Source organism: Homo sapiens, chromosome 2 (genome assembly GCF_000001405.40).
Source record: "Homo sapiens chromosome 2, GRCh38.p14 Primary Assembly".
NCBI lineage: Eukaryota > Metazoa > Chordata > Mammalia > Primates > Hominidae > Homo > Homo sapiens.
The window spans coordinates 71,367,548-71,390,104 of record NC_000002.12 but is presented as its reverse complement, the minus strand read 5'-3'; the positions used below and the strand labels follow the sequence as shown (position 1 = coordinate 71,390,104).

Sequence of the window (22,557 nt, the reverse complement as noted above, 5' to 3'; positions counted from 1 at the left end):
TATAGAAGGGGGTTCTTTTGCTGAGTTACCTTGGTCTCTACTAGTGGGGCACTGCCTCTTCTTATGACCTGGCTCTCCACACAGAAAACAATTTGGGGTTTTCTCCCTTTTCACTTCAGGAGACTTTATTGCCATGGCCAATATTTTGGCTTTGTGTGTTTCAGTCCCCACCAGTTGACGTGCTCGTGTAAGTTCCCTGGCCGTAACTGCCTTTCCTCTGACTGCCTGCATTGCTTGTTGGCAGTCGACGTTAGCATTTTCATAAGCCAACTGCAACAATAAGATTATCAGCGGCCTGGGGATGACTAATTTGTCTCTTAATTGCCTGGGTTAACCGATTGATAAATTCAAAAAATGGCTCCTGAGGCCCTTGTCGAACATTTATAAAGATCCTTGTTGAACTTCCGCTTTCGGAATTCGGGAATTCAGTCCCAAGCCCTCATAGCACACAAAGACACTTGTGCATAGGCTTAGGGAACAAAACTTAATTGTTGTTGGACACTGGCATAGGAACCCCTCCCCTGAAGCATAGCAGCTGTTATGTTTTGCCCGGCCAATTGATTCTGGTTGGCTTGTTGTTCATACAACTCATCATACTCTGTCTTCCAGAGGAGGTACTGACTGGGCTCTAAAGTTGTTTTAGCTAGCACTGACCAGTCCCATGGGGCCAAACAGAAGTTGTCTGCTATGGCTTCAATTAATCCTTTCATAAATGGACTAGCAGCTCCGTTTGCTCTGATGCTTTTTCTTATCTTTATAAGCGTCAAAAGAAATGGGTTCATATACCTGAGTACCTTGCTGATCTTGCATTACCGGGCAGGTTAAGAGCTCCCCTTCTAATGCCACTTGCCTAAGACAGGGTCCCACAGCTGTAGTGTATCCCTTGTCTTTTTTCCAATTTATTGGGGGAGGGGGCTCAGGGAAAACCTCTGTTTCCTCTTTGGTATCTTTACCCAGTAATGGCAGGGCTGAGGGAAGAGGAGGCGGCGGTAAGGTAGGTGATGGTTCCTTCTCCCTTCCCTTCTTGGGATCTTCTGTGTACAGCAGGGCCAAAGCAGCCCTAACTAAGGCCCATAAGGTTAAAGATGTTACTGGGACCCGTTGCCCTTGTTTATGGTATTGTTTAAGATTTCTCCCCACTTATTCCCAGAGCTCTAGGTCCAGCATGCCTTCTGCTGGGAACCATGGATTATGGGAAACAACAGTTTGCCTTAGGACCCTTAACTGAGCCTGTGAAACCGAGGCTCTGCTAGCTTTAAGCAGTTGTTTCAATACTTTTATATACTGTTTCTGTTGTGCGGACAGCTGTTGTCTCATGATGAAACTCTAGTCTGAGAATTCCCCTGAACTTGGATATCCCGAGTGGGCACCAATGACTTACTGACTGCACAGTCTCTTCGCCTTCATTTTCGGGGGTTCCGTCGTGATCCCTTGCAGTGTTCCTCACGAGGGGCACCAGCTGCTGAGTCTGATCCACCGACTCTGGCCGAGCGACGGATGAAAAAAGTACGCAGACACAGGTATTTTGCGTGAGCGCAGCTAGGAAACTGCTCGGCCTTAGAGACGCCGAAGAGAGAACGCAGCCCCAATAAGCTGGAGCTGCTTGTATTTATTTAGTACAGATTTAATGACAAAGGCCTGGAGCCAACACAATCTGTGGGTAGTTGTTGCCCCCGCCTGTAGGGAGCAGTCCTGCACGCGGATGATCAAAGGTCAGATGATCAAAGGTCGGATGATCAAAGGTCAGATGATCAAAGGTCAGATGATCAAAGGTCGGATGATCAAAGGTCGGATGATCAAAGGTCGGCAAAAGTAAATAAACTTATCTAGATAAATTCCTTTACACTCCTTTGTTACCTACTACTTGCCCTTAGCCTCAGGGTAAGAGAATTTAGCTGCCTTCAGCCTTTATTCTCTCCCGAAGCTTTGCAAAACCTCCCAGGACTTCCAAGAAGGTTTGCGTCTCTCCTTATAACTTTTCCCACCACCCTGACCAATCTCCTACAAAAACCTAACATGGTTAACTGAAATGATCAACCTTCCCAATGTGAAATGGAAACTGGTAGGATTTTTTTTTCTTTAATTATAAGTGTAGTTGTATCCGTCTTCATATGTTTAAAAGTCATCTCTACTTCTTTCTCTATAATCTGCCTAATCATACTATTTTCCAATTTATCTTTTGGGTTGAGGCTTCTTATTTTTTATTAGAGTTCCTTAAGAAAATTAACACATAGGTTAACAATTTTCTAAAGTCACTCAAAATACTTATGCATTAATACATTTTATGTAGTCAAATGTCTTCCTGATTGGGAAGGACTTCTCAACCTAAATTTTACAAAAAATATTCTCCACACTTAAAGAATACTGTTATCATCTTATGTATCATAGTAAATCTTTGATCCAACTGCAGTTTGATATAAGCACTTTTACTTTTTTTTTTTTGAGAGAGTCTTGCTCTGTTGCCCAGGCTGAGTGGCATGATCTCAGCTCATTACAACCTCCACCTCCCAGGTTCAGGCAATTCTCCTGCCTCAGCCTCCTGAGTACCTGGGTCTACAGGAGAGCACCACCACACCCAGCTAATTTTTGTATTTTTAGTAGAGATGGGATTTCACCATGTTGGCCAGGCTGGTCTCAAACTCCTGGCCTCAAGTGATCCAGCCACCTTGGCCTCCGAAAGTGCTGGGATTACAGGCGTCAGCCACCGCACCAAGCAAAGTGCTTTTACTTTTATCAAAAGTAAAAAAAAAGTAGCTAATTTAATGAATAATTGATCTTTTTCCAACTAAAACGAAATATTATCATACAAATTTACTGATGTTTTGTATGTTTTGGGAAATATCTCTGGACTCTCTTCTGTCCTACTTTTTGTCTATGTAACTATATGAAACTACTCTAAATCTTCGAACTTTGTAATATATTTTAATATTTATTGTGGATAGTCTGTTTTCATTGTTTTCTTTAAAGAACTGTCCTGCCTATTCTTCTATGTTAATTTCTTATAATATATAAACTTAGAATCAGCTTATGTAATTTAAAATGTTTTATTGCTATTATTCTTTATACTTAGTGTATAAAGAAAAAAAAGGTTTAGCTGGATGAGGTGTCTCTGGCCTGTAATACCAGCTACTCAGGAGGATGAGGTGGAAGAAGCACTTGAACCTGGGAGGTGGAGACTGCAATGAACTGAGATTCCACAACTGAACTCCAGCCTGGGCAACAGAAAAAAAAGAAGAAAAGAAAAAAAGAAAAAAAAGGCATCTTATAACAGTGAAGCTTTCTATCCAAGAATGCCATTTTTTCATTTAAGGCTCATTTTATGCCTTTTAATATTTTAGTTTTCTTTTTATAACTTCTACCATTTTTATTATTATAAATGGACTATTTAATATTAGATTACATAAGGAGCTCTTCTTTAAAAAGCAATTAAACATGACATATTAGAGAATTAAGATGGGTAATTATAATTAAATAGCACTGTATAATTGATTCTCTTAGGTTTTCCTTCGTACTATCATATTTGCAAATAACGGTGTATCCTACTTTCCAATTTCCATGCCTCTTGAATTACATTGTACTGGTTAATGGTTATTAGTTTTAAAAAATATTTATTTTAACTGAAAGAGGTGTTGATGCATATTCTCAGTTTAGTTCCCAACCTTAATGGGAATGCATCTAATGCATTATTAAACATATGCTGGCTTTTAACATATGTGTACTTGTATATGTATGTGTGTGCATAAATAAAAGTATATATACACACATACATATCATAAATTTAAGAAACTTTTTTTTTTTTTTTTTTTTTTTTGAGACAAGGTCTCACTCTGTTGCATAGGCTGGGGTACAGTAGCACGATCACAGTTCACTGAAGCGTCGACCTCCTGGGCTCAAGCAATCCTCCCAGATCAGCCTTGCAAGTAGCTGGCACATGCCAACATGCCCAGATAACTTCTTAATTTCTGATACAGACTGGGTCTCACTATGATGCCCATGCTAAGATTTCTTTTTTAAATGCTAGAAATGGATGTTGAAGTTAATATCCCTTTCAGTATTTATGGAAAGGATCATATGTTCTTTTTTTAATATGGTAGTATTGAATTAACAGATTTCCTCATTTTGAACCATCTTTATACTTCCAATACGACCCTCTCTTGTGCATAGTCCATTATTCAAAGTGCTCGCAGACACTATATGTTAAAATTTTACACTAAAATTTAACATTAATATTCCTACATATAATTCTATAGTTTTATGAAAGCTGTCAGCAATTAAAAAATATTTAACTTTCACTTTTGAGATAATTGTAAATTCACATGGAGTTGTATGAAAAAAGGAGAGACCCCATATACCCTTCACCCAGTTTCCCTCCAATGGTTAACACTTTGCATAACTGTAGTACAGTATCACAGACAGAAAACTGACACAATTGATACAATCTACCAACACCCAGATTTCACTCATTTTACATGTAATGTGTACTTAGCTCTGAAATTTTATCATAGGTGTAGATCAGTGTGACTACCACCAGCCAAGATACAGAATGGTTCCTTCATAATGATCTCTTCTAAAACCCATTTATAGCAATAGCCACCTCCCTCCCACCAACCCTGACTATCACTAATCTGTTCTCTCTCTGTAATTTCATTTCAATGTGATATACATGAAATTTTATAATATAAAACTTTTTAAAATAGCCATTCATCCACTGAAGAACATTTGGGTTGTTTCCAGTTTGGGGCAATTATAAACAAAGTACCCATAAATACTCGTGTATAGGCCCTTGTATGAGCTAAGTTTTCATTTCTCTGGGATGAGTGCCCAAGAGTGTAAGTGATGTCATATGGTAAGCATGTGTTTAGTTTTGTTAAGTTAAACTGTCATACTCTTTTCTAGAATGGCTGTACTATTTCACAATTGCTCTTGCACACAATGTATGAGTTTCTCTACATACTCATCAGCATTTGGTGCTATCAGTATTTTTTATTTTAGCCATTCTGATAGGTGTGTAGTGTCTTTGTCAGTATTTGATGTATTAGCCTGTTCCCCCACCTTTTCTCATTTCCCCTTTTACAGGAAGCTTTCCCTTCTCCTGAATGCCATGGTATAGCTGAAATCGATATTGCTTTCTGAAAGATTTGGTGGAACTCACATGTGGGAGTTCCCACAGGTGAGCAAAGGGCTTTTATTGGGAAAATAACTGACTTAAGCAAATAAACAAGAGGTGATCTCTGAATGGTGTAAATCACTTTCTTTAAACATTTTCTGAAATATTTTAAAATTTTCACAATAAACATTCATTACTTTTATACTTAGATTTAAAAGAATGTCATTTTCAGCTGGGAACTGAAAAGGTAAAAAGAAAAGGGGACATATTATTTCTAAAAAAGAGAAAAGCCATAACAAGAGAAAAAAATCATTCGATCAAGGAAGTTTCATCAGAGATGAGCCTTACAGGATAAATCAGAATCTGTCCTCCAACTCTCCCCAAAAGAAGTCTTAACTGACTTTTTATCTTCAGTACCTTGCCTGCGACCTATTAAGTGCTTACTGAAGTTAAATGAAGTCAGCCATCAATTCCATGCAAATAGACAGCATAAATAAAGAACCAAGGAATGAAGTAACATGGAAAATAAACTATTCTGAGTGACTACAAAATAATACACAGTTGACTGTTAATAGGTTCAAAAGATAATCTGGGGTCAAAGGGCAAAGAATAATTTATGGAAAGCCAAAGAATTTGGACTTTATTCCACTGGTTGCTAGAAGTAGAATGATCAGATCTGCTTTAAAGAGACCTCTGGGCAACAACGTGTATAATAAAGCAGAGTATGGAATAAAAAATACCAGTCAGGAGGCTATCTTCCAAAGTTCAAATGTGAGACGACAGGTCTGAATTAAAAGGAGTTACAGGCATGATGGAGCTACATATAAAGAATTTGAGAGCTGAAGTAGAGTCAGTGGAAAACTAATATGGATCCGCCACTGATTGGCTGAAAAGGGGAAGGATGTTATCTAAATCTGAATTATGTTGAACAGAAGAAAAGAGAAGACAGGGTTAAGAACTACTCTACCGGATGATTAGTGGTAACTGTTAAATAATATAAGAAAATGAGAAGAGTATACTCAAGGGGATAGAAGAGTTTATGTACGTAAGGGAGATGTCCTTAAAGACTGACAGGAAAGAAATCACCCAGGAAGAGGGCCAGGCATGGTGGCTCACACCTGTAATCCCAGCACTTTGGGAGGCCGAGGTGGGTGCATCACTTAAGTTTAGGAGTTTGAGACCAGCCTGGCCAACAAGGTGAAACCCCATCTCTACTAAAAAAAAAAAAAAAAAAAGAAAAAGAAAAAAAAAAAGAAAAATTAGCCAGGCATAGTGTCGCATACCCGTAATCCCAGCTACTCGGGAGGCTGAGGCAGAATCACTTGAACCTGGGAGGCACGGGTTGCAGTGAGCCAAGATCATGCCACTGTACTCCAAACTAGGCAACAGAGTGAAACTCCATCTCAATAAAAGAAGAAAAAAAAAAAAAAAAAAAAACCACCCAGGAAGAAAAGCATGACATGAGAAGAGGAAAAGATTATTAGGAAAACTAGAAAGGCTGGAGAAAAGTAGTGATCCAAGAAAATCAAGAAGTTTTCATTCTTGAGGGAGGTAATTTAGTATATGCAACGCTTTGGAATCATAAAGTTTTGCGTTCAAATTCTAACTCCTCCATGTGGCCCTGACTCATTTAACCTTTCTGAATCTATCTCTTCTAGAAAATGAGAACAATATATTTTTTTGAGGTGGAGTCTCGCTCTTGTCACCCAGGCTGGAGTGCAGTGGCACGATCTTGGCTCACTGCAACCTCTGCCTCCCAGGTTCAAGAGACTCTCGTGCCTCGGCCTCCTGAGTAGCTGGGACTACTACCACCACACACAGCTAATCTTTGTATTTTAGTAGAGACGGGGTTTCACCATGTTGGCCAGGCTGGTCTTGAACTCCTGACCTCAGGTGATGCACCCGCCTCAAACTCCCAAAGTGCTGGGATTGTAGGCATAAGCCATCGCACCCAGCCAAACATTAACTACAACTCAAAGAACGGTTTGAAAGATTAAACAAAATAACATAAATATACTATGTGCCCATGTGTCCAGCATAAATATCATACCCACAAATGTGAGGCTTCTTTTCTTTGTTTTCTCTCTTCTGGTACAGATTATGTTAGTAGGTCTGTCTACTTAATAAGTCATTTTTACCTTATTTTGTACACTAAATTCTAACTTTAAAACAAACTAATCCTGCATCACCTTTACCCTGGTTCTGCTTTAGCTTTGTGTCACAGAACTTCTCATTTTCTAAAACTCATATTATTTAATGTTTATTTTATATTTAATATTTGTCACCTCAAGTTAAAAATGTAAACTGTCTGGGGACAGCCATGCCTATTTGGTCCACTGATACATCCTAAGCCTCTACAAAGTGCCCCCTATCATGGGCATATAATAGCTACTCAGTAATTACTATTTTTCTTTTTAATTAGTACTGGGTAAGAGCTCGAATGTTTCCATTCATGATCAAATTACACTCTTGCTTCCTCCCTGTGCTTATAATCAAATTTATCCTTAAAACTGCTCTAATTAACTCTTCCTGTCACTCTTCAATCTGAGCGGATCTCAAAAAATTATCAAGTACCCTTCCTTTCTCACCTGTCACTTTCTCAGTCCTGTTTATAGGCTCCTTTTTCTTTCTACATTTATATTGCAAGGAAGTATTTTAGCTTTCCAAAATTTAGACCTTAAACTTAAAAAAATTCCCAAGTATCTCACTTTCAATGCCATATGATTGGCTGACTAAAGAATATCTCTAGCAGATACTCGTGACAGCTGAAACTTGGTAATGTTGAAATCTAAGGACCTAACCCCAAATTCAAAGGCACCACTGTGAGTTTTCCAATTGTAATCAATAATATCATCGCACTCTTAGTAAAACCTATCAGGACTGAAACTTGGAAATTTTATAATTATTTAAAAAATTTTTTAAACTCACTTACTGAAAAATTCCATATAATAAAATGCAAATTTTACCTCCTCACATCACTTAAATTAACCTTTTTCACATCAGGTCCTCATCATCCCAAAGTGAAGCCCAGCTGTTTTTTCTCAGTGGGATTTTTACATCTCTCCAATTTATCCAATCTATATAAGAATCCTAAACAATTAGTGAGTGGCTCCATATTCTCTACTGCAATTTCCCAGAGTCTGTACCAATTTTTACTAGCTCTTATCCAGAAAAAATGGAGTGTACTTTTGCCAAGCTTAGGAAACAGTGGACTAAACAAAGCTAAATAGGTTTCTTTCCTGAAGGATTTCATAAAATGTGTTCTGTGAATTATTTTTTCAAAAGAGAAAAAATAGCTATAACACACACCCCAAACCTTTTTACCCAAAACTTCTTTCAGAAATTACTCTTTAACATGACACATTCTGAAAATGCTACTAATGGGGTCAAATTTGAAAACTTCTCAGCATGACCCTTCAAGGCCTTCAATAGAATAATTGAACTTTGTTACCTTTGTTGTTGTGTGCCCCCCAGATGAAGTAATCTTCTGCCTCCACATTTTATCTCTTCACATAATGTTACCTAATTTAAAATCTTAATCAAAATGTACTGCCTTCCAGAAGCCATTCATAGTATCTCTGCTAACCTTCAATACTTCAATACTCTATACAACTAAACATTACGGGGAAATGAGATATTCCACAATCCAATTTTCACCTCACTAGTAAAACTTAGTGCCTAAATTCTTACCTCATTCCAGTTAGAAAAACCAACACACTATATTTTTACCTTCCCCAAACAGAACATACAAAACGCAATGTAAGTTCCTAAATTTGTCTCTGCCTTATTTTAGCTTTTCTTTCCTGTCTTTCACTATCGAGCTGTTTATTCTCACTAGTACTAGTCTCAAAACTTTCCACCTTTCTAGTCCTAAATGGACTAAGAAAAAGGAGAACCCGGATTATAAAACTGTATGCAAAATTTATTTAACTGGATTCATAATGATGGCTTCAAGTATTTTCCTGAGTATAAAGAAATAGCTTTTAGTACATGAGTATGATAGCATCCATTTCTGGATAGTCTTTTTTGCTTGCTTTTTGGCTCTCAATTAACCTCCAAAATCAAAGAGGACCAGATAAGCATTCTTAACATACCTTTCTTATGTTTTGTGTCTTGTGGGTTTATCGGGAAGGGATGGAGGGAGATATTGCATAACTAACCTAAACATGTAAAAAACAGCTATTAACTGTGGAACTACGATAGCTATTTCACATACATTATCTCACAGATTTGTTGTATTTACTCCAGAAGTGATTCTGTAATTACACAGCATTAAATATTAACCGCCTGCTTAATACAGGGGCCAATTAAAGAATGTAATTTGGGTCTCCTTCATTAAAGCACAATAGTGTCTTCATAGCATCATCATCTAAGTTTCTACTAAACTGACAAGATACACTCATTTGAAAGAATATTAAAAGTAACAACTTACCAGCAGAAGTTGAAGTAACAATTTCAACAGCTTTTGAAGCATCTGCATCTCTTCTATTTAAAAGGAGAAAAAATTTAGCAGCAACTTAGGAATTCTAAGTTCTACAAAATCCTAAAAATGTAATATTTAAACCTAAAAACGTTTAAAATAATTCAACTGGAGTGATATCCCTCTTAAACTATAGTTATAGTGATAAAATATATTTAAAATGCGGTTTTAAAAATTAAAATTTCTTAAGTCATATGCACATTTCATTCTCACATATGAAATCATAAAGTCACTTACTTTAAGGTAGATGCAGATACTTTCTTTGACTCTAAAGTCTTTTTCTTCACCTCTTTGTTCTACGTAGGAAAAATATTTTGAACAAAAGAAATTTAGTATAAAGCAATTTAGAAAATATAGAACAAAAATCTAAAATCTTCCTATTCTAAAGGACACATGATTATTACCTTTTCCTATTTATAAAGACATTTTTTTCAATTTGTGATTACACAGCCTAATTTTACATCTCATCTTTCACAACTCATCTGCATTTTCTTATCATTAACTACAGCAGTTTCTCCTTATCCAAGACCCCTGGTGGATGCCTTGAAACCGTGCTCGTGCTGAACCCTATATATACTATGTTTTTTTTCCTGTATATACATGAAAGTTTAATTTATAAATTAGACATAGTAAAAGATCAACAATAATAAAATAGAAAAACGCTCCCTTCAGCAGCACATATACTAAAATTGGAATGATACGGTAATTAGCATGGCCCCTGCGCAAGGATGACACGCATATTCGTTAGGCATTCCATATTTTAAATTAAAAAAATAAGTTGTAAGAATATAGTGTAATAAAACTTACGTGAATACGGTCTGTCAAAATATCTTACTGTACTGTAGATCTTAGCGACTTCAGCATACAATTTTTTTCTCTCCTTATTAAGTCCAGAACTTTCAACTTTTCACTTAAAGGAAACATTTTTCCCCTTCTCTTTGGCATATCCAAATTGCCAGCATCACCATACTTGCACTTTAGGGCCATTATTAAGTAAAATGAGGGTTAAACACAAGCACTGCAATACAGTGACGGTCAATCTGATAACCAAGACAGCTATTAAGTGACTAGTGGGCAGGTAGCATATAAAATGTGGATACTCTAGACAAAGCAATGACTCACAGCCCCAGTGGGCTGGAGTTGGACTGCATGAAATTTCATCATGCTAACTCAGAACAGGGCACAGTTTAAAACATGTTGTTTATTTCTGGAATTTTCTATTCAATATTTTCAAACCACAACTGACCACTGAAACTGCAAAGCCAAGCCTCAGATAAACGGGAACTACTGTAACTTTCAAAAACATGGTTTCTCATAGCACTGTGACATCTCAAATGTCTAAAGTTCAACTGCTATCACCCTGGTCTAATCTACTACTACCTTTTGCTTTGATTACTACAATCGCCTCGTAATGGTCTCTGCTTCAGTCCTTGCCATTCACTCACTCTCTATTCACAACATAAACCCAGACTGAACCTGCTGTTCCACAACTCAAAACCTCTCATTAGACTCAAGGAAAAAAAGCCAGTACTTAACAATGGCCTCTAAAAGTTTACAACGTATGTTCTACCTACCTTCTAACTCCCAAACCACAATACACTTCCTTCCTATACTTCTTCACTCCATCCCCAAGCATCCTTTCTACTCCTCTAAGATGCTACAAAGGTATAGGTTTGACAGGTGCTATTCCTTCTGTCTGGAATGCTCTCAATCCAGGACGTGGTTTGTTCCCTCATCTTCTTCAAATGTTTGCTCATATATCACCTTTTCAATGAGATCTTCCCCAACTAACTTACTGAAAGTTGCACAGCTCTTCATTCCCCAACAAGAGTACTTCTATTCCCCTTTCCTAATTTTTTTTTACCATAGCACTTGTTGAAAACAAACATAATACATATGCATTTTTAACTTATTTGTGGTCTTTCTCTCTCTACCCCTTGAAGTTAAAACTCTGTGATACCAGAGACTTTGTGTTCTTCAATATTCTATTCCCAGTGCATAAAGTCATGCTTAAACATTCAGCAAGTATTTGTTAATTGATCTGAATTTCATCATAACTGTTCTCATGCAATTTCATACTTTCTGTTCTTTTTGGGCACTCTTGTCATTTCCTTTTGCACTATATGGGATTTTATCCCACATGTTCCTTCAACTCAATTATTTAGAAGAAATTAGTTCTAGTGCTATTCTACTAATGGTAATTTTCAATTTTAAAAGAAATTTGAAACTACTATGTTCCGATGTATAAGTTGAAACATTTAGCCTTTACTCCTTGGCTACATTCCAATTTTTGATTATACATTTCACACGAAAATTATCTTTCTGGTAATTTTAAGTGATATTTTTTGAAATTTATTTTATAAAAATGTGATTATTTAGATTTTAGTCTATGTTTAACTGGTTTCATTGTTCACCGCCAACATTTTATACAATAACTTCTCCATTTCTTAAGATCTTCATTTTAATGTTTTAGAAAAAGATGTATTAGTGAAATATCTTCTAAGTCCATGCATGTCTGAGAATAAATACTGCCTTAACACACACCTTAGGATTCCACTTGAAATGAATGTACTCAATTACAACGAATCATAATCTTTTTCCCACCCAACTCTTAAGAATGTGTTGCTTTGCAATCTAAGGCTAGACTATTTCTTTGTATAGTTAAACTGTTTTCTGCCTAGATCACTATAAGGTGCCCCACCATAACCATGAAATTTAAAATCCTCAGAATTTAAATGATGTCCTCTTTCTGGAATTCCACTTATGTACAGATTGTGTCTTCTAAATATATCTACCATGCCTTTCCTCTAATCATTTTTCACTCTTTTAACTTTCACACCAAGAGTAGGATCACACCTCTCTTGCTCACCACTGCATCTTCTGTAGATATTACAATGCCTGACACAACAGAGGCATAACAGATGCTTAACTAATAAGAAATAGTTTCAGAATTAAAATGAAAACCTCTCATCCAAATTCTGATTGCGTATTTTCGCTTTTATCTCCTTGTTAATTCATTAGATTTTCTGTAATGCTCAAATATTCACTAACGCCCAGCATTATTTTTCATATCCATGCAATTCCTAGTTGACTACTTGCTCCAGTTTTAATTGTAATGTCCCCATGAATCTTGCTGAAAACACTGAATTGAAGTTTTAAAAATTGTTTTTTTTGCACAAGGTTGAAATGCAGTAGTATGTCATGGCTGAAAGCGTTTTATTAGAAATCTGATCCTACTTTTTTCCACATCAAGGGCTCCTGATCATCCCCCAGCTCCCTTTTGTTGAGATAGGGTCTCACTCCGTCACCCAGCCAACCTCCGCCTCCCAGGCTCAAGCGATCCTCCCACCGCACCCTACCCAGCAGCTGGGTGCGTGCCACCACACTAGGTCAATTTTTTAATTTTTTGAAGAGATAAGAGCTCACTATATTGCCTGGGCTAGTCTCAAACTCCTGGGCTCAAGCAATCATCCTGCCTCGGCCTCCCAAAGTGCTGGGATTACAGGCATGAGCCACTGCACTGGGCTCCTGATACTTTAAAGAAAACTTTCGAAGTATGAGAATATGGCCCTTTCCCTGGGAAAAAAAGAATGTTTGCTTTCATCGGATTACTGGTAACGGTGGGGCAAGGAGTAGCTCAAAAAGACTTAAGAATCACTGCTAAGAATGGATGTCGAGGTTATTATTAAATTATTATTATTAAAGACTAGGTTACAAGGTTATTATTAAAGACTAAGTTACCTAGTTTCTGACAAGAGTTGTACAAATCCATATTAACATAGGGATATAGGATTTTTTTTACCTTTTCTGTAATATTTAGATTCATAGAAGCAGCAAAATGGAGAAGATGTTACATGAAACACAGCTAGAGTTAGAGGCAGTCCTAACATGAAATATCAAATGTTGGGCGGGTAAGTTTTTTCTAGGTTTTGACATGCCATGCCAAAATCAAGATTTGGACCAAGAAAGCTATAGCACAGCTCTTCTTCTTCCTAGTTTGTTCTTTCAGCTTATTTTTGGCTTGCACTGGTAGAAAAACTTGAAGTGGTAACAGGCCAAAAAGATTGCCCCTTCCTGCCTCAGACACTTATTTACAAAACAAAACAAACAAACAAACAACAACAAAAACAATTGTCCACATACTTCCAATATGAAGAAGGCACAACTCAAATTCTGTTCAGAGTTCCCTCCACTCAATCCCTAGGCATGTTGCTCTGTCACAACAGAGGTGTCATGAGTTAGCCTTCTTGTTCCAGCATCATCCAAACAACATTTAGCTGAAGAACATTAATATTTGCCATGAAAATGGCATGTTTTCTAGCTTCTAGTGCTCGTATTTTCTTTACCTATTCATTGCTATGAAAATCATGACAGTAAATATGCCTGGGCTCTTGGACTTACACTGCTACTTTACCAACTTCATCAAAAAGTTGGCCAAGAGAATTTTTTAAGCTATTTGAAACATTCTATTTCCTTAAATGTATCCTTACCTATGTTCCTTAACTATGTTAACTGTTTAGAATGAAAGAAAACTGGCCTTCTCAACAATTCCAAAAATTTAATGATCAGCTAGGTCTTTCTGGACAGTCACTAGTATAAGCCACTATTCCTTTCTGTTTTCAAGGTTACTAATCTACCCACAAACCATTACCATTATCACAAAAGGCTGAGTATATTGATTAAACAAGTCTTCTAATTGGACTTCAGTGCTCTTCTCCACTTTAATCAATCTGCTAGGCTTTCTTTGCCTTCAAAATCATTTGCCTAACTCATTCTCCAAACCATTTCCAAATGAATCTTTCTAATCTCCGTTTTATTATGTCATGCCCTGGTTCAAAAACCTTGAATAACATATACCTCTCTACAGGATAAAGTTTAAGTTCTTAAATTATGTATTTAATCCTTGTTTCTCCTTAACTGCCTCTGCAACTAGATGGCCATGTGTCTGGTAGTTCTGGTAAATCAAATGCAGGCAAATGCTGCTGGGGAACTCACTCTTTCCAGAAAAGAAAACAAAAACTCATTTTGCTCTGCATTTTTATTCCTGTATGTCTCGAAGATAGAAAAGATGCCAGAAGGTGCAGAAACCATCTTACAAATGAGGATGAAAGATACATTCTACAGACAGTAGTGCTGGAAGACAAGGCGAGGTTCCTGAAGATATTATGGAGCTGTTGCACGAGCACTGGACCACCTACATGCAGATTTCTGTTATGAGATAAATATACCTCTTATTTGTTAACAATCCACTAGTGAGGTTTTATTAGTTGAAACTGAATGAAATCCTAAATGATAAAATTGTTAATAACTAAGGCCACACGATTTAATTTATTATCCAAACCAGGACAATGGGAATAAATGGATGGCATGTAGCAGGTATAAACTAGGATGATAGGTTACTCTAGTAGTAACTAACTAGAAAACATATGAGAACTAAAAAATAAAGATCCTCTCTAATAGCTATATGTAAAAATAAGTAAAATAATAAATTTAACCACCACAAAATGTTCAAGAACTTTATGGAAAAAAAAATAAAACTTGCTAAAGGGCATAAAAGGAAATCTAAATGGACAAACCATGTTCTTTGTTTGTTTAAGACAAAGCCTGGCTCTGTTGCCCAGGCTGGGGTGCCATGGTGCTATCTCAGCTCAGTGCTACCTCTCCATCGTGTGGGCTCAAGCAATCCTCCTGCCTCAGCCTCCTCCTGAGTAGCTGGGACTACATGCATGCACCACCGCACCCAGCTAATTTTTGTATTTTTAGTAGAGACAGGGTTTCATCGTATTGCCCCACGCTGGTCTCAAACTCCTGAGCTCAAGTTATCTGCCCACCTCAGCCTCTCAAAATGCTAGGATAACAGGCAAGAGCCACCAGCCAACGAACTATGTTTTTTGATAGAAAGACTTAGTGTTGTAAAAATACTATCACGAATTCAACACAGTATTAATTAAATTCCAGTAAGTTTTTTTTAAGAGAACTTAAACTGATTCTAAAACTAATGTGCAGGAGTAAATGTTCAAGATTAAACAAAATGAATTTAAATAAAGAGGAAAAACATTAACCAAAATGAATAAACAAAGAAAAATAACTCTACAAGAAAGACAGGGAAATATTAGGAAGCTATAGTAATTGTTGTAACAGAAACCACATAGTATTGCCACAACAGAAGAGTATGAAACACATCTATGTATACAGAATTTATACACATAAAAGAAGCTTTTCAAATCAACAAGGATAAATTAGGCATAAATAGTGTTGAGGCTAACTGGCTCCCATTTTGGAAATAATACTGATTCCAATCCTATATTATGCTGCAAATAATAGATTAAGGAATAAAACCTTTTAGGCACTAGCACAGGCAAGTTCTTAAAAAGACAAAAGAAAAAAAAGCAGGCCAGAAACAGTGGCTCATGCCTGTAATCCCAACACTTCGGGAGGCCGAGGCAGGAGAATCACCTGAGCCCAGGAGTGTGAGATCACCTTGGGCAACAAAGTGAAACCTCATATCTACAAAAAATAAATTAAAACTTAGCTATGCGCGGTGGCTTGCACCTGTAGTCCCAGGTACTCAGGAGGCTGAGGTGGGAGGATTACTTGAGCCTGGGAGGCGGAGGTGGCAATGAGCCGAAATTGTGCCACCGCATTCCAGCCTGGGTGATAGAGTGAGACCTTGTCTCAAAAAGAGGGGAACATGTCCTCAGAACCTCCTGAGGCTGTGTCACAGGCATAAAAATAATAAAGAAAAAAATGCAGAAGCCATAGAATACCAATAAATTTGAGTACATAAAAACATCAAACTTGGCCGGGCGAGGTGGCTCACGCCTGTAATCCCAGCACTTTCAGAGGCCGAGGCGGACGGATCACGAGGTCAGGAGATCAAGACCATCCTGGCTAACATGGTGAAACCCCATCTCTGTTAGTGGCGAGCACCTGTAGTCCCAGGTACTCAGGAGGCTGAGGCAGGAGAATGACGTGAACCCGGGAGGTGGAGCTTGCAGTGAGGCGAGATGGTGCCACTGCACTCCAGCCTGGGCGACAGAGAGAGGCTCCGCCAAAAAAAAAAAAAAAAAAAAAAAAAAATTCAAACTTGATATATGTATGCATAACACAAGCAACAGACTGTAAGAAAAGACTTCTTACATACAATGCAAAATTAGTGTCTAGAATGCACAATATTCATGCACCTTCAAATGAATATTTTTAAAAAGACAACAATAATAAAATAGGAAAAGATACAGACAACTCACTTAAACAGTTAATAGATATAGCTAACAATTATATAAAAAGATGAAGTTAATGAATAATCAAAAAGATGCAAATTAAAACTAGATATCATTTTCTATATAACGAATTTTTAAAGCTGAAGAAATTAAGATGTTGTTGGTAATACTCTCATAAATTACCAGGGAGTAAATTATAACAGTTATTTAGTGAGCAATCTTATATTATCCATTACTGTGCATCCTATAAACCAACCATTCCATTGGGTAGGTATCACCTAAAAAACCACTATCATAAATGTCAAAAGATGGCCTGTGAAGGTACACAAGGTGTTAACTAAAGTTCTGTTTCTAGAAACAACCTAAATATCAATCAGTAAGGAATTGGTAATACATCTGTGGTATATTCATACAGAGAAACACTATAGAGAAGTTACAAAGAATGAGGAATGCACTAACATGGTTAGACTACCAAATCAAATTATTGAGAAATGTGTGTTATAGAACCTCTATAAAGTAGCCATTCCACAGCTAGTAGAAAAATTAAATTACTAGAACACATAGCTGGGTGGAGCAAAATGGTAGAATAGAACCCTACACTGTTCATCCCATCCCCAGCAGGAACACCAAATTTTAACGACTATCTGCACACAGAAAAGCATCATCACAAGAACCAAATATCAAGTGAGCATTCATACTACCTGGTTTTGACTTTGTATCACTGAAAGAGGCATTGACGAGGGTAGCAGAGACAGCCTTAAATCCCTGACAGCACACCTCCCTAATCTGGCCCCACAACATGGACAGAGTCTGTGCACTTTAGGAAGGGACAGCGCAGTAACTAGGGGACTTTACATTGAACTCAGTGCTGCTCTGTCACAGTGGACAGCAAAGCCATGCTGTACTCAGCCAGCACCCATGCACTGAAGGAGCCTTTGGACCAGACCTAGCCAAAGAGGACTCATCCATCCCGGCAATAAGAATCTGAATTTCTTGGCAAGTCTCACTACCATGGGCTAAAGTGCTCCAGGGTGCTAGGTAAACCTGAAAGGTAGTCTAGGACACAAGGACAACAACTCCTAGGCAACTCTTAGGGCTGGGGCTGGGATTAGAGCTAGTGGGCTGGGATGGCATGTAACCTAGGGAGGTACCAGCTGGGAAAACTGGATATCCATATGCATTAATGAACCTGAACCCTATCTCTCACCATATACAAAAATCAAATAAAAATAGATTAAAGACTTTTATCTAAGATCTCTAACTATGAAACTACTACAAGAAAACACTGGAGGAACTCTCTCTCCAGGACATCAGTCTGGGCAAATATTTCTTCAGTAATACCCCACAAACACAGGCAAATGCTGTACAAAAATGAACAAATGGGACCACTTCAAGTTAAAAAGCTTCTGCAGAGCAAAGGAAACAACAGACAACCCACAAAATGAGAGAAAATAATTGCAAACTATCCATCTGACAAGGGATTAATAACCAGAATATATAAGGAACTCAAGCCACTTTACAGGAAAAAAATCTGACAAGGGATTAATAACCAGAATATATAAGGAACTCAAGCCACTTTACAGGAAAAAAAAAAACTAATACTCTGATAAAAAAAAAATGGGCAAAAGATCTGAAGAAACATTTCTCAAAAGACAACACATAAATGGCAAAAAGGCACACGAAAAGGTACTCAACATCACTGATCATCACAGAAATGCAAATCAAAACTACAATGAGATACCATCTTACCCCGGTTAAAATGGCTTTTATCCAAAAGACAGGCAAAAACAAATGCTGGCCAGGATGTGGAGAAAAGGGAACCCTCAGTATATTGTTGGTGGGAACGTAAATTAGTACGATCACTATGGAGAACATTTTGAAGGGTCCTAAGAAACTAAAAATAGGATCAACCATACAATCCAGCAATCCCACTGCTGGGTATATATACCCAAAAGAAAAGAAATCAGTATATTGAAGAGGTATCTGTACTCCCATGTTTCTTGCAGCACTGTTCACATTAGCTAAGATCTGGAAGCAAACTAAGTGTCCATCAACACATGAATAGATAAAGAAAATGTGGTACATAACACAATGGAGTACTCTTCAGCCATAAAAATGAATGAGATTCAGTTATTTAAAATAACATGGATGAAACTGGAAGTCATTATATTAAGTGAAATAAGCCAGGCACAGAAAGACAAAGATCACATGTTCCCACTTATTTGTGGTATCTAAAAAATCCCACAATTTGTGGGCTCTAAAACAACTGAACTCATGGAGACAGAAAGTCGAAGGATGGTTATGAGGCTGGGAAGGGTAACAGGGGGTAGAGGAGGGGATAATTAATGGGTACCAAAAAAAAACAGAATGAGTAAGACCCAGTATTAGCTAGCGCAACAGAGTGACTATAGTAAAAAATAATTTAATGTTACATTTTTAAACAATTATAAGAGTATAACTGGATTATTTGATACACAAAGAATAAATGTTGGAGGGGACAGATATCCCATTTTCCATAATGTGATTATTACACACTGCATGCCTGCATCTAAACATCTCATGTACCTCATAAATATATATACCTACTATGTACCCACAAAAATTAAAAATACAATAATTTTTTTTAAGATATAAAAATATTTTCTCAACACCCTATTTTAAAAAACACACACATACACAAAGAAAACCTTACAGGTGAGATATACATATAGCTTTTTACTTAACAGAAAGCTCATCCTTAAAGGGTAATTTAAAGTAATTCTATAGATATTATCTACGATCATATGAACTGAAGCACAGAAATGATCTAGAAAAATTAAAGTTACAAAACTTGATACTTCTAAGGAAGTAAAGGCCCAAAGAATGTACACTATACGATTTTGTTTATGTAAAGTTGAAAACAGGCAAAACTCAACTATGGCATTAGAAATCAAGTTAGTGTTTACTTGTGAGAAGAAGGGAGGGTGTAAGAATTGGGAAGAAGCAAGCAAGGGACTTCCAGATACTGTCAAATGTTCTCTTTTGTGACCTAGGTACCAGATTCACAGATGTTTGCTATTTTTGTGTTATATATGGCAAGTATTTTCTCCTAGTCGTCGTTATTTAATACTGTATATAGCACCATACATGTATGAGGAAGTTTTAATTTCAACATACTTGAATTAATGCACATATAATGTGTTGAGCTAACATTTATGTTTCTATGCCTATTTCTATATGTGTGCCATACTTAAACAAAAAAGTTAAACTAAAACAACAGTGATAAAACATTTAAGACCTAAATCCAGATTACCTGTGCTTTTTTCTTTCCTGGAACACATATTTTCACACTTTTTCCTTTTATCGTAAGAGGTGTTGTTTCAATGTACTTCATAATTGCAGTAATTGCCTCTTTAAATTCCATTTCTAGGTAAGCCTAAAATGAAATTTATTCCATCTTTAGTCACAAATCTATCTTTAAAAGTTCCTGCATTTTAAAATGGGCTTAATCCTTTCTTTTGTAACATCAAACTATGAAACTACCTCAAGTCATGGTTGCTTTTGCCTGTTTTTATTTTGGTCAAGTATAATTTGATTAAGGATGTTTCACACATTAAATGGACATTTAACCTTACATAATTTCTATACCACTACCAAGATAAAAAAAAATCCAGGCAGGCTCATGGAAGAAGAGGAAATGAGAAGGCAGGGCTCACTGAACAACAGGAGGGAAGGGAAGATATGGTCCAGCTTGTGGTAGGTCTGACATTTTAAAGGCTTCTTGCAACAAAGACAACACTATCACTATGTTCCCTGTCCTGACTCACAAACTTTTTAAAAAAATTAAGACAGAGGTCTTGCTATGTTGCCCAGGCTGGTCTTGAACTCCTGGCCTCAAGCGATCCTCCAGCCTTGGCCTCCCAAAGTACTGGGATTACAGACTTCAGCCACCACACCCAGCCTTAACTCACAAAACTTTTTTTTTTTTTTTTTTTTGAGACGGAGCCTTACTCTGTTGCCCAGGCTAGAGTGCAGCGGCGCCATCTCTAGTCACTGCAACCTCTGCCTCCCGGGTTCAAGAGATTCTCCTGCCTCAACCTCCCACGTAGGTGGGATTACAGATGTCTGGCTAATTTTTGTATTCTTAGTAGACACGGGGTTTCACCATGTTGGTCGGGCTGGTCTCAAACTCCTGATCTCAGGCGATCCACCTGCCTCAGCCTCCCAAAGTGCTGCGATTACAGGCACAAGCCAACACGCCCAGCCTTAACTAACTATTTTATGTTGTGCTTATGTGAAGAACTGTTCACAGTTCTTAACTTTATCATGTGAGTTATAGGAATATAACCCACAGAAAATACTTAACCATACAAAGGAAATAATTTGTTTTAGTATTATCTAACTGGTGTTCTAAAGTAATGACTGGCAAACTATGGCATACTACCTATTTTTGTAAATAGTTTTTTGGACACAGCCATGCTTGCGCATTTACATATTACTTATAGCTGTTTTTGTACTAGAATGCCAGAGCACAGTAGTTGAGATCCTACAGATGGCTTATAAAACCAAAAATATTTAGCTGGCCCTTTACAGAAAAAGTGGGCAAACACTTATTTTAAAGGATATAAAACATTATTTTGCGGCCTTGCTTATTCACATCCAGACATTTATATAACTCTCAAAGAACAATTATATATGCAGTACAAGCAGCTAAGGAACACAACAGCAATTTATAGAATCATTAAAGCAATCACTTTGTATGAATTTTTGCCACAGACTAAATGACTCACCTCTTTTCTATATGGAACAATTAGGACATCATTCACTTTCCCAAATGGTTGAAATAATTTTCTCACATCTTCTTCAGTACAACCATCCTCTGGTAATTCAGTTATAAGAAGAACCGAACCATAATGCAATGACTGTTCTTTCCGAAGCTATTTTTGGAGTGAAAGAAAATTTAAAATAAACCAAATTAAGCTACAATGTACAGTAATAATTTCCTATATAATTTCTTCTACCACTAATATTAGTACACTAAAGGGTCTTTTCCATATTTTTTACCCATTTTTCTTTTTCCTTCACCACCTCCTTTACGCATTTTTAAATCACGATTTTAACACTTTAATAAGATTTTAAATGCAAAAGTGGTAAGAAATGTTATTTATATTTTTTAACCCAGAAATGGTTTACAGGTGCTCTTTTCTGTTGATAGCATCTTATAGCAAATAAGATCTATGGAATGTTCCAAGGCCATTAGAGAGAATTTTTCTATGAAACTACATGGCCCACCAACAAGTAAAGCTGAAATTACAGCTTTGCTTACCCCCTCTGTTCTAATAATTGGAAATGATCTCTAGACAGGTATAATATTTTTAAAAATTCATATATAATGCATACCATTTGAATACACTGTAGTATCAACTTTACCGCTTACGTTAAAAATTACAGCCAGGCATGGTGGCTCATGCCTGTATCCCACTGCTTTGGGAGGCCAAGGCAGAAAGATCGCTTGAGGCCAGGAGTTTAAGACCAGGATGGGCAACATACTAAGACTCTATATTTTTAAAAAAAAAAAAAGGCCAGGCCTGGTGGCTCACGCCTGTAATCCCAGCACTTTGGGAGACCAAGGTGGATAGATCACAAGGTCAGGTGTTCGAGACCAGCCTGACCAACACGGTGAAACCCCGTCTCTGCTAAAAATAAAAAAAATTAGCCAGGCGTGGTGGCACACGCCTATAATCCCAGCTGCTCAGGAGGCTAAGGCAGGA

At 37.2% G+C, this 22,557-nt stretch overlaps 1 protein-coding gene and 1 pseudogene across 4 annotated transcripts in view; one reads left to right on the top strand and one right to left on the bottom strand.

The window, feature by feature from the left end:
- The window catches only part of ZNF638 (zinc finger protein 638), a 103,280-nt gene that overhangs the window by 44,957 nt on the left and 35,766 nt on the right, over nucleotides 1–22,557 (bottom strand). For all 4 annotated transcript variants that reach the window (NM_014497.5, NM_001252613.2, NM_001252612.2 and 1 more), the window contains exons 7-10: nucleotides 21,577–21,723; nucleotides 20,100–20,222; nucleotides 9,825–9,883; nucleotides 9,540–9,592 (exon numbers count right to left, since the gene is read on the bottom strand). In NM_014497.5, coding sequence (NP_055312.2) covers nucleotides 9,540–9,592; nucleotides 9,825–9,883; nucleotides 20,100–20,222; nucleotides 21,577–21,723 — 382 coding nt within the window. The remainder of the gene's footprint in view (nucleotides 1–9,539; nucleotides 9,593–9,824; nucleotides 9,884–20,099; nucleotides 20,223–21,576; nucleotides 21,724–22,557) is intronic.
- RNU6-105P (RNA, U6 small nuclear 105, pseudogene) lies at nucleotides 10,249–10,349 on the top strand (annotated as a pseudogene).